This window comes from Homo sapiens, chromosome 2 (genome assembly GCF_000001405.40).
Source record: "Homo sapiens chromosome 2, GRCh38.p14 Primary Assembly".
Lineage (NCBI taxonomy): Eukaryota > Metazoa > Chordata > Mammalia > Primates > Hominidae > Homo > Homo sapiens.
Genome location: NC_000002.12, coordinates 101,522,035 through 101,535,804, shown reverse-complemented (window position 1 = coordinate 101,535,804; position 13,770 = coordinate 101,522,035). Strand labels below are relative to the sequence as shown.

General features: G+C 41.1%; 1 annotated feature.

Moving 5' to 3' along the window:
* Positions 1,037 to 1,826: an enhancer, noted in NCBI's record as "OCT4-NANOG-H3K27ac-H3K4me1 hESC enhancer chr2:102150441-102151230 (GRCh37/hg19 assembly coordinates)". NCBI's record gives its function as "activates a minimal SCP1, AML or CMV promoter by ChIP-STARR-seq in naive H9 embryonic stem cells {active_cell/tissue: H9 hESC(naive)}" and the evidence as "EXISTENCE:reporter gene assay evidence [ECO:0000049][PMID:30033119]".

Sequence of the window (13,770 nt, the reverse complement as noted above, 5' to 3'; positions counted from 1 at the left end):
TAAGCACTCCACTCATGGAGGCAGTTACCTTCTATGTGGGGTCAGGGGGAATGCAATTCAGAAGGAGGCACAGAGACTTCAAAAGCGTTGGCGACGTTCTACTTCTGCTGGGTAATGGACGGCACTTCCACTGGGTAATGGACAGCACATCAGCTGGGTAATGGACGGCACTTCTGCTGGGTAATGGATGCACAGGCGTTGGCTGTATTATGGTGATGACAATGTGTATATCACATATAATATTTTTTATCAAAAATTTCATGTTTAAAATAAAATTATATGGCTGAAAGAAAAATACACTAAGATATCATTTATGTAAATCTATAAAGCACAGAAAACAAGAGTGTATTTTGTTTCTGGAAACATACACATATAGAAAAAGTAGAACAGCCACATAAGGATACACACGAATAGAATCAATTTTGGGCATTTTTGGAGAAGAATGATGTTGGTATGTGTGTGACAAGGAGATTCCAACTGTGGTCTGTAACTTTCTCTTTAAAACATTAAAAAACTCAAGGTAAGATAGCAAAGTATTGATACTTATTAACTCTGAGTGTTGGGTACATAGGTGTTAGGAATAGGGTCTCTAGACTTAGGGCGTGCGTGGATGCACACACACACATACACGCACAAACACACATACACACACACTCTCTCTCTCTCTACAGGACACCCGGTTAAATTGAATTTCAGATAAAAACCAACAACTTTTTAGTATAAATAATTTTTAATAAAAATATGCCCCATTGGGACAGCCTATGATTCATCTGACACCACTACTTATATTGATCTCTACATCTGAAATATAGGGAAAATACGTTTGTCCTGTTTATGTACATTATGAAAAACTTAGCCAGCAATTATGTGTTTAGTGTGCACAAAATGGGGGGCGGGGGGATTACAGAGGGTCCTGCCCCTGTGCTATGGAATCAGTGCACCAGACTCATCCCACCGGCTCCCCGGACCTTCAAGGATTTCTGACCAGATCCGTTTGCTCAGATTATTTAACTCCAAAAACCAATATACCCATCATTTAAACACGGTAATTACCATTTGCTATGTGCTGAACACTTGACATGCATTATCTCATTAAACAATTCCACAGCAGCTCTGTCCTGGTACTATTTTTCCTAGTTTTCTTATAATTTCTGGTACTTCCCCAAGGCCCAGAAATTTGCCAGTGTCACACAGTGAGTCAGGGGTTCCAAAGCCATCGTTCTTTCCACCTGCCCTCCCTACCCCCCTAACACGTACGCAGCAATCTTTCTCAATCCTTCATGGTCCCTCCCCTCCTGGGCTTCCCTATCCCTTTCACGTCTGGTTCCTCTTGCAGCAAGAGGCATTAACTAACCTTGTGTTTTTATCTCTCTAGATACAGATGACCCTCCTACTTAGACTGCATACTTCTTTCCATATCACTGCCCAGCCCAGCTCCAAATTTCTGCCAAACTAGTGCCTCGTGGGGAGAAGGCACTCAGGACGTATTTGCCAGTTGGCGGGTCAGCATTTTCTTTAAGGGCATTCTGGAAAGCAGCCGTGGACTTGGCCACTTCCAGCAGTTCTACTTTAAACACAAAGTTCCTTGGCTTCCAATTTCTACATTAAAGTGCTCCAGTTCCTCTGGTCAGCAGAGAACATCCTTGGGGTCTCGCAGCCCCTACAGACATCATCCAGGCAGCCCAGAGACAATGTTCTTGTGAGCTTCTGTGTGTAAACAGCCAAGTCCATGCCTACTGCTTCGTTTTAAAATGCCCCAAACACAAACCCTTTTTGTCATTTAGAAGAGCATGGAAAAGCCCCTTCTGCCCCACGGAATAACAAAAGACCAGTTGGCTTCCTTTCAAATATGCTAATTGCCCAGCTTCCAAGTTTCAGCTCAAGGCCCATTTTCATGCCTGACTTAAAAATAAAGCCCTGACAATATGATCTTGAATGGAAATGCTGACCACACTAGCTGATGAGAACAAGCAGCTATTCCAGGAAAGAAAACAATGGAGGCAGGCAGTGCGCGCATATTCCTCCCGGCCTATGTGGGACTGTTTGTTTCCAGGCCACCGGCCGGCCCTACAGCTGGCTCCAGGCTCCAGAGCCCAGACCCGTGCCTGACTTCTTTACTAGAAGTTTGAGGAAATGTGATCCTATCTTTCGGTTCTCTCTGGATAAAAGTGGAACTAGCTTTCTTTTGTTTTTGCTTTTGTTTTTTTCCAGTTCTGTCGTAGGGAAAGTTTGGACTCCCACACTTAGGGGGCAACTCCTAAGACATAGAAACCCCAGACATCTGAAACCCCAGATAATGGATGTGCACACACGGACTTGGGGACAGGTTGTGTGCAGCAATTTGGAGTCTAGGCAGCATTTAAAACTATAGCCACAGCCGGGCCGGTGGCTCACGCCTGGAATCCTAGCACTTTGGTAGAGTTGAGGTGGGCAGATCACCTGAGGTCAGGAGTTCGAGAACAGCCTGGCCAACATGGCGAAACCCCATCTCTACTAAAAACATAAAAATTAGCTGAGTGTGGTGGCGGGTAGCTGTAATCCCAGCTACTCGGGAGGCTGAGGCATAAGAATCTTTTGAATCCAGGAGGTGGAGGTTGCAGTGAGCTGAGATTGTGCCACTACACTTCAGCATGGACAGAGTGAGACTCGTCTCCAAACAAACAAACAAACAAAAAAACTATAGCCATAAATAAATAGGCCTTCTAGACCACCTGAAACAAGTCTCAACCAAAATGACTAGAAGGATCTTACTAAGATCACTTTTCTGGAGTGATGCGGAGAGCTGACATTATAACCCAAATGATTTGGAACCCAACCCAAAGTTTAACAGCTCTGTCTGGATAACAGCCTCGTGTTTTATGTCAATGAAGGAATCACCTCCAATTCTAACCAAAACAAGTGAGAAGCTGATCTGTGTTATGTATCATCTCCTTTCATTTAAATTCCTCAGTGGGGCTGATATTATTGTTCCCATTTCACAGATGAGGATTCTGAGCCCCAGAGAAGTTACGTTAGTTAAATAAGTGACCCCAGATTGTGCTGAGATGAAATTCAAAACCAAGAGTGAGATGCCACACTGCCCCGCCCCTGCTACTCAAAGAGTGGTCCGGGGACCCGTAGCAGCTGTGGCATCACCTGGGCAATTGTGAGAAAGGCAGAGTCCCAGGCCCCACCCCAGACTCCTGAATCAGAATCTGCATTCAGACCACAGGCTTCACACGCACATGAAGGTTTGTGAAGTGCTGGCCCACACTGCAGGCCTTCTCAGATGACCCTGCTGCCAAACAGACATAGAACCGTGAGGATCTTAGAAACTGGACGTGACGTGAAGCCTAGTGTCTAAGGAGAGTGTGATGCCATGTGGAAGGAAATGCAGGTTTCAAGCATAGCAGTTACATATGTCTCAGAGGACTACCTTGGATGCCAGTGTAGAAAGGAACAAAGTCTCTGGATTTAGAAATTTTATATTCAATCCTGGTTCTGCCATTTACAGGCTACAAAACCTTGGGAAAGTTGTTCAATTCTCTGACTCTCAACCTGTTTCCAAAGTAAGAATAATGCTAGATCTGAGGTTGTTCTGATGTTGAGACCATATACACACAAACGTGCTCACTAGGCCCTCTCTATCTTTTTTTTTTTTTTTTCAGATGGAGTGTAGCTTTGTCACCAGGCTGGGGTGCAGTGCATGGTCTCGGCTCACTGCAACCTCTGCCTCCCGAGTTCAAGCAGTTCTCCTGCCTCAGCCTCTGAGTAGCCGGTATTACAGGCACGTGCCACCACACACAGTTAACTTTTTGTATTTTTAGTAGAGACAGGGTTTCACCATGTTGGCCAGGCTGGTCTCGAATTCCTGACCTCAAGTGATCTGCCCACCTCAGCCTCCCAAAATGCTGGGGTTACAGGCATGAGCCACTGCGCCTGGCCAGCCCCTCTCTATCTATGGGTTCCACATGCCTGGATTCAACCAACCATGGAGCAAAAATGTTTGAAAAAAAAAGTGTCTGTATGGAACATGTACAGATATTTTTCTTGTCATTATTCTCTAAACAATACAGTATAACAACTATTTACATTGTATAAGGTATTATAAATAATCTAAAGATCATTTAAAGTATTTAAGATATTTGGGAGGATGTGCATAGTTTGTATGCAAATGCTATAACATTTTATATCAGGGACTTCATCCTGTGGGATCTAGGCATGGGCGGAGGCTACTGGAACCAATCCCCCACGAGTCCAAGTGATGACTGTATATGCATATACACACATATATGTACACACTGTCTGGATACACGTATATGTTCATATATAGACACACATATAATGTGGATATATGTGTATTATACACATGTGTACCTATGTGTATAATACACATGTGTACATATGTGTATTTACACTTGTATATATGTGTTTACATGCATACACACACGTATATACACACATACATGTATACACATGCATATATCCACATTATATATACGTACATATATACCCATATATACACATACATATATGCATACATATACATATATATACACATACATATATATACACCATACATATATACATATACATATATATACATATATACACCTATATATGTATGGGTATATATGGGTATGTATTTGTATACATATATACACATACATATATATACCCATATATAAACCCATATACACATACATATACATACACATGTGTATATGCATACATATACATACACATGTGTATATGCATACATATACATACACATGTGTATATGCATACATATACACATACATATATATGTATGCATATACACGTGTATATGCATACACATATGCACACATATGTATGCATAAACAATAAATGTGTATATGTATACATATATACACATACATATATACCCATAAATATATACTCATACTTATATAGCCATACATATATACCCATACATATATACACCCATACATATATACACATACATATATATACCCACACATATATACCCATACATATAACCATATACACCTACATATATATACCCATATATATTATATACACATACATATATAATATCCATATACACATATATATTTTATATAACATACTAAGTATTATACCTATATATGTGTATATAGGTATATAACATATGTGTATATGGGTATATAACATATGTGTATGTGTATTATACCCATATATGTGTATATGGGTATATAACATATGTGTATATGGGTATAATACATATTATGTTATATAAAATATATATGTATATATGGGTATTATATATGTATGTGTATATAATATATATGGGTATATATATGTATGTGTATATATGTATGGGTATATATATGTATGTGTATATATATGGGTATATATGTATGGGTATATATGTACGGATATATATATGTATGTGTATATATGTATGGGTATATATATGTATGTGTATATATGTATGGGTATATATGTATGGGTGTATATATGTATGGGCATATATATATTTTATATTGCATAATATGTATTATACCCGTATATATGTGTATATGGGTATAATACATAACACATATATATGTGTATATGGGTATAATACATATTATGTTATATAAAATATATAATATATGATAAGATGTAGCATATATACGTATATGGGTATATATATGTATGTGTATATATGTATGGGTGTATATATGTATGTGTAGATATGTATGGGTATATATAGGTATGTGTATATATGTATGGGTATATATGGGTATATATGTATGTATATATGTATGTATATGTATGCATATATATGTGTGTATATATGGGTATGTATGTATATATGTATGTATATGTATGCATATATGTGTTTGTATATATGGGTATATATGTATGTGTATATATAATGTGCATATGTGTATGTGTATATATGTATGGGCATGTATGTTCATATGTGTATGGGCATATATGTATAGGCATGTATGTGCATATATGCATGTGTATATATGTATGTGTATATATATGTATGTGTATATGTGGGTATATATGTATGTATATATGTATGTATGTGTATGCATGCATATATGTATGTGTATATATGGATATATATGTGTGTGTATATATAAGTATACATATACACGTGTGTGTATATGCATGTGTGTTGTTCCTTTGGTATCTGTGGGGGATTGGTTCCAGAAGCCCACTCGGAACCCAAGCTCCATCTGGGTATCCCCAATCCCCACTGCAGTGCCCAGTCCAGCCTGGCCTCTCTTGGCCATGCTCCCTGCTCAAAACTGTAAAGGCGGGGGGTGGGAGGGGGACTAAGGGCTTAATGAATCACAACCGACACTTAAACATCACAGGTTTGAACTGTACAGGCCTGCTTATGCTCAGATTTTCTTCCACCTTTGCCACCCCGAGAAAGCAAGACCAATCCCTCCTCCTCCTCAGCCTACTCAACGTGAAGAAAATGAGGATGAAGACCTTTATGATGATCTGCTTCCACTTAATGGATAGTTAATATATTTTCTCTTCCTTAGGATTTTCTTAGAAACATTTTCTTTTCTCTAGCTGACTTTATTGTAAGAATACTCTGTGTGTGTGTGTGTCTGTGTGCGTGTGTGTACCGTACAAAATATGTGCTAACCAATCAACTGTTTATGTTATCAGTAAGGCTTCCAGTCAACAGCAAGCTATTAGTAGTTATATTTTCGGAGAGCCAAAAGTTATACAGAGATTTCTGACTGTGCAAGGGGTGGGGGAGGTTCAGTGCCCCTAACCTCCATGGTATTCAAGTGTCAACTGTAGTTAGTCCCAGATATGTGTCCGAAAGTCACTGGAGCCTTCCAGTAGTGAGTTTCCAAGCCATGGAAGTGTGCAGCAGAGGACAGACAGCCACTCATCAGGGGTGCTGGCCAGAGGGCCTCGAAGATTCTTCCTAACCCTCCGGGTCAGTACTGCTATGAGACACAATGTCTTCAACTTCCAAAAAGAGACTTCTCGGGGGGAAGCTAGGCCCTGTGGCTGATTGAAAGGAAAAATCTGGAGCCAGGTTCTCTCCAACCTGCAAATCATCCCCAGAGCGGTGTCTGCCTCCCTCATGTGCTTAAGCACCTGACCACGGGGTGCCTTATAAGGAGGGGATTATACTCTTATCCCTGGTTTTAGACAATTAAAACACTGTTCTGTGTGCTAGTGACCCAAAACAGTTAATGCTCTTCCCAAAGGGGCCCAGCTTAGGCACTGGAAGGATTTGGGGAAAAGCCCACTTTCACAAACTAATCAGAGTTGACATAGATCCTTTTTGTCAAATTATGAATGTCTATGGACCACAACTGGTTGAGAACCTGGAAAAAAACAAACCAAATCAAACCAAACCACGTGTTGAGCAGATAGGATTACGATAAGGTTCTTTTTCTCTTTTATTTGGATTTCTGTTAATATTTTTAATGAAATTTCTTCGTAGGCGTCGAAAAAGAAGAAATCATTTCTCTGAACTTAAAGGGCCTTTTATTAATCATTATAGTAGGAAGATGAACATGTTCCTAATTTTATCTCATTTTGTCTTTGGTGGCCGATGTAGTGGGTTGAAGGCTTTGGGTCCATATATTAATAATTCCAAATACGAATTGCCTGAGCCTCGGCAATTTGCCATCTATGTGGCAAATTCCAAATACGAATTGCCTGAGCCTCGGCAAACCCTGCAGTTTGCCATCTATGTGTGCTCATTGTTTTGGTTGGTTTGGTTTGACACAGCTGGGTGGGTGGCATTGTTTGGGGTGTTGGTATCCACACAGCATCAGAAGGGACAGGACACTGGGGCCTTTTCCTTTCTTATATATTCCTCCACAATCGAGACAGGCTTTGACACTGACTGCTGGATAAAGATGGCAGATTGAATACCTGCATCTAATTCTGACCTCTCCTGAAGTCCTACCAAACCACAGTAAAGAGAGAACAGGAGGGAACAGGAGAGCGAACAAGGAGGTTCTGGAAGTTGGAAAACTGATGAAAAACAAATCTGGCAGTGCAGAAAGCTGAGCTTAACGTGATTTCCATCACAGCACGCGCAAACAGCTCAAGAAGGCACTTCTGGAAGTGAAGGTAAAGCAATTGGCTCTGCAGTTTCCCCAACCCCACTCCACCACTGCTTCTCCCCAACCCCATCAGGAGACTGGAGATGAAGTCTGTGGAGAAAGCAGAGAGTCTCAGGACTGAGAACATTAGGTATAACGGAAGGTAAGGCTCCTAAAAGCACAAGAGAATGAAATGAGTTATGTCTGCTGGAAGCTGTGGTGGGCAGCCCCTCCTCTCACTCATCTCTCAGAATGTAGGCAGGCAGATCTTCTCCCTCTAGGCAAGATGCTGGAAGCTTCTCCTCAGGGGAATTAGATGGCCCAGGAAGAGAAACCTGAAAGTACTGATGTCAGGGGTCCCCCAGCACACGGCCCAGCCAGATTACCCTACTGAGAAGTTAACAGTCAACAACTCCCACCCACCTCCCCACCACATTCCCCAAGTACAGAATGTCCAGTCAGCCTTTCACTCCTGGGCTCTAAACCCAGGGCGATGGCGCCTTTAAGAGATGGCTCTAAATCCATCCCATTTGACCTTCCCAGTGGAGCTATCTTGAATCTCCTCCTGTCAAATAATAGATCCTTCTAATCAGCAGTGGAAACCCAATCAAGTCACTTCCATCTTTAGTATCCGTCCTTCAATGCCCCATTGTCTCCAGCTCCACACCATACTTCTTCTCCCCATTAAAGTCACATTTTCTCACTTTCCAGTTATATTTCAACCCACTGCATACTATCTTCTATCTCACAACCCAGAAAATCTGCCTCACCCAAGGAAGGGCATGGGAATTGCTAACAACAACAGAGACATCTTGGTCCTTCTCAGCTTGGCAGCAACATTCAATAGTGTTGATCATCACCTTCCTAAAATATTCTCTTCCATCACTTGCCACAAACATCCTCTTCTCCTAGTTTGTCTCCTGTTTCAGTGACCACTACACAGCTTCCTTTGCTGCCTCATCCTCCCCCACCCAACCTATAAATCCTGGCATTCTTCGGGGTGCAGTCCTGGGCTTTCTATTTCTCTGTGCTCTCTCCTTAGTGGATCCTATTCATTTGATTCCCAAATGTGTACCTTCAAATCAGACCTCTCCTTTTTGTCCAAAGTCATCCTTGGAATTCTAACTGGACTCACCATTTCCCCTCCAAATTCACCCTTCCTCCAAAGCCCCTGTGGTAAATGGTCAATATCTGTAGAGTTGCTCAAGTTGAACACCACATGGAGAGTCATCTTTGACACCTTCTTCATGTCCCACGTCCAAGTCTTTACTAAGTCCTGTTGATTATATATTCAAAACATACCACGAGTCCATCTCTTTCTGTCCATCTTCATGACCAGCACCCCAGTCCAGGCCCCTGTTGTCTCTTGCCTCCTGACGACTTTCCTCATATTCATTCTTGCCCTTCAGTATGTGGGATATGATGAGGTTTCTCTTAAAATAATCTGATCGATATTTTATTCTTTAATTCATAGTACCCTCTCTTTTTTTTCTCCTTTCTTCCTTTTTGCCTTTGTTAAATGCCCAAGCATGCCACAATACCAGGAGTTATCAATACCAGCTCGCGTTCCTTTCCTTATTTAAAAAAAAGACCAACCTTCTAGCTCATTACAGACACCCCTTTTCCCCTTCATCTCCACTTTCTTTTATGTGCCCACCCTTTCTAAAAAAAAAAAATCAAATGTTTAGCCAACCGAGATTAGTTTAAATTATACAACCCGACCCCAGCCAATGGGGAGAGGGTACAGGGGCAAGACTTGTGTCAAAAGTAAAGGCTCTTGTGCCCCTTTGTTCAAGTGTGCTCTCATGGCAACTGGCCAAAGAGGCACCCCTCTACGCAAAAGTAAAATTGCTTTGCTAAAAATCCTTTGTTCGAGTGTTCAATTTCCTTAAGATTTTAAGCGTTATTCCTAACAACTGTCACTCCCCCTGTTTCAAACACTCCAGTGGGTGCACTTTCTATTGCATCCAGGATGGGAACAAAATCTTTAACTTGGCCTCTAAGACCCTGGGTAAACTAGTTCTTCCCCGGTTAGCTTTTGTTCCTGCCATTCCAGCCCCTTGGGCATTCTTTCACTCCTTGCCCATAGGCCTTTGCCCTTGCTGCTTCCTCTGCTCCCCAGTATCCTTCTTTATTCTCCTCTACATTCAGATAACCCTTCTTTATCCTTTGAATCTCCATTAAATCACTTATTTAAAAAATTATCTCTGATTCCCTACTCCTACACCACATTCCCATTTACATAGGACCCCATGATGTTTGCTATGGTTTGAGAGTCCCCAGCAAAACTCATGCTGAAATGTAATTGCCAATATCATAATGTTGGGAGATGGTGCCTTTAAGAGGTGACTAAGTCATTAAGATGAATTGATGTCTTTCTCAAGAGAGCAGGTGAGTTTTCTCAGGAATGGATTAGTTCTCGCAAGAATAGGTTGTTACAAATCCATGTTGCTTCTCTTGCTTTGTCTCTCTGCACATGCCTGCTTCCCCTTCTGCTTCTTTTCCATCCTGTGATGCAACACAAGCCTCACCAGAAGCCAAGCAGATGCCAGCGCCAAGCCCTCTGGCTTTCTAGCCACTGCAACTGTGAACCAAATAAATCTCTCTTCTTTATAAATAACTCAGCCCTGGGTAGTCTGTTATAGCAATACTAAACAGACTTAAGACAAAGTCCATATTCTGTTATAGCAACACTAAACGAACGAAGACAATTTCAGTCTCATAGCAGTCACATTCTCCTTCACAGCACTTGTATGACAGCATAAATTGTGCAAGTGTTGGTGCCTTCTCCACTAGATTATGCATGGTGAAGGTAGAGACAATGTCTGTCTTGTTCAGTGACATAACCTCAGAAACTACCACAGGGTCCAGAACATAGTACGTGGTCAATAAATATTTTAAATATGTGATCATGAAAGCTATCCTTGAATTCGAGGAACTCTTCTGGAGCACTTTCTAAAATTTTATTTTTGGGTCTGCAATCTTCTAGGAGAAAGGAAACAAATCTTATATTCTATGTCACCCTTTTAAAATTGCAATGTTTATCTATCCTCGAATATACATTAGCATGTTGCAGTAATTAGTGCTGTCTTATATTTTGCTATTTTTACTACGACAAAGGGGATGCCAGGGAAATTCCCCTTGTGAGTCCTGAGTATCCAATCAAATGTTGCCTTATTTCATGACTTCTTCCTTTTGGTCTTCAGACTAGCCCTTAAAGTGGCTCAACTTAACTGTAGGCCACAAGCTATATGAGGGGTCTTCAAAAAGCTCATGGAAAATGCATATAATGAAAGAACTATGCATTGGAAACGGAAATGGAAACTATGGTTTCCATTTTTTGCACCAAAATAAACTCGTACTAACTTGTTATAACGTGTCTGAACGGGATCTAGTTTGAGGCACTAAGAATGGTTTCATCATTTTGAAAAGAACCCCTATCAGAGCAACATGAATTCTGCTAAAACTGAAGCAAGAACAAACATCAAATTTACGGTGATTCTTGGGTAGGAAGGACGGTGAAATCATTGATGCTTTATGAAAACGTTATAGGAATGATACTCCGAAGAAGTCAGCAGTTTATGAACAGATAGCTCATTTTAAGAAGGAACAAGATGATATGGAAGATGAAGCCCACAGCAGCAGACCATCCACATCAATTTTTGAGGAAAAAATTCATCTTATCCATGCCCTAATTGAGGAGGACCAATGATTAACAACAGAAAAAGTATCCAACATCATACACATCTCAATTGGTTCAGCTTACATAATTCTGACTGAAAAATTAAACTTGAGAAAACTTTCCACTGATGGCTGCTGAAACTGTTGCACCCAAATCAGCTGCAGACAAAAGCAGAGTTTTCAATGAAAATTTTAAACAAGGGGATCAAGATCCTGAAGCATTTCTTTGAAGAATTGTAACAATTGTAACAGGAGATGGAACGTGGCTTTACAGTATGATCCTGAAGACAAAGCACAATCTAAGCACTGGCTACCAAGAAGTGGAAGTGGTCCAGTCAAAGCAACAGTGGACCAGTCAGGAGCAAGGATCATGGCAACAGTCTTTTGGGATGCTCAAGGTATTTTGTCAGTTGACTTTCTGGAGGGCCAAAGAACAATAGTATATGCTTATTTTGAATGTGTTTTGAGAAAGTTAGCTAAAGCTTTAGTAGAAAAATGCCCAGGAAAGCTTCACTAGAGAGTCCTTCTCCATCATAACAATGCTCCTGCTCATTCCTCTCATCAAACAAGGGTAATTTGGTGAGTGTTTCAGTGGGAAATCATTAGGCATCCACCTTATAGTCCTGATTTGGCCCCATTTTATATCTTAATCTTAAAAAATTCTTAAAGGGCACTCATTTTTCTTCAGTTAATAAATGTAAAAATGACTGTATTGACATGGTTAAATTCCCAGGACCCTCAGTTCTCTGAGGGTTGACTAGATGGCTAATATCACTTACAAAAGTGTCTTGAACTTGATGGAGCCTATATTGAGAAAGTTTATATTTTTTATTTTAATCTGTTAATTGTAGTTTTCCATGAGCTTTTTGAAGTCTCCTTGTATACAAGATGGTGCAACATGTAATAGTGCAGTAGTTTGATTTTAGGTTCAAATGCTAGGTCTGAATTAAAGGCGTGTGAATGGCTGTTAGTGATGCAATCTGACTGTGGTTTATGTGTGCATGTGTGGGCCAGCCCCAAGTGCCCAGCTTCTCCTCATCACAGCCATGACTGCTCCCAGCTAGACTCGCAGAGGAAGCAGCTCTTGGGCCTCCCAAACCTGGACTTTTTTTTTTTTTTTTTGAGATGGAGTTTTGCACTTGTTGCCCAGGCTGGAGTGCAATGGCACAATCTTGGCTTACTGCAACTTTGCCTCCTGGGTTCAAGTGATTCTCCTGCCTCAGTCTCCAGAGTAGCTGGAATTACAGGTACCTGCCACCATGCCCGGCTAATTTTTTGTATTTTTAGTAGAGATGGGGTTTCACCATGTTGGCCCAGCTGGTCTTGAACTCCTGATCTCAGGTGATCCACCAGCCTCAGCCTCCCAAAGTGCTGGGATTACAGGCATGAGCCACTGCACCTGGCCCAGCCTGGACTATTTTTGTGCACAGCCCAACATCTGCTGGTGGAATTCTCCCTTGCTATAGACTAAATATTTGTGTCCCCCTCAAATTTATATGTTGAAACGCTAATTCCCAATGGGATAATATTAGGAGGTGGGGCCTTTAGGAGGTAATTAGGTTTAGATGAGGTCATGAGGATGGTATTAGTGTTCTTATAAGAAGAGTAAGAGACACCAGATCCCCTGTCCTCTGCATGCGGGGACAGAGTGAGATGGTGGCCATCTGCAAGCCAGGAAGCAGTCCCTCTCCAGGAACCACATCAGCCAGAACCTTCATCTTGGACTTCCGCCTCTAGAACTATGAGAAATAAATTTCTGTTGTTAAAGCCACTCAGTCTATGGTATTTTGTTATAGCAGCCCAAGCCATCTAAGACATTTCCCAGCCCCGCTTTCCATAAAGCTGCCCTATATTCTCCCCAGTCTAGGGGCTGTCCACTCCCTCCCTGGCTCTAGGTGGAAGGCAGCTGTTGAGTTTGCTTTTGTTTAACTTTTATCTGGTGATACTTTGTTGTCTAAGGGCTTACTCAGAGAAAAATACTCTGCTCTTAAACTCAGCCTCGAAACTAGAAAATTACTTTTTAAATAGAGAAAACATTGATTTAACATGGCTTTAG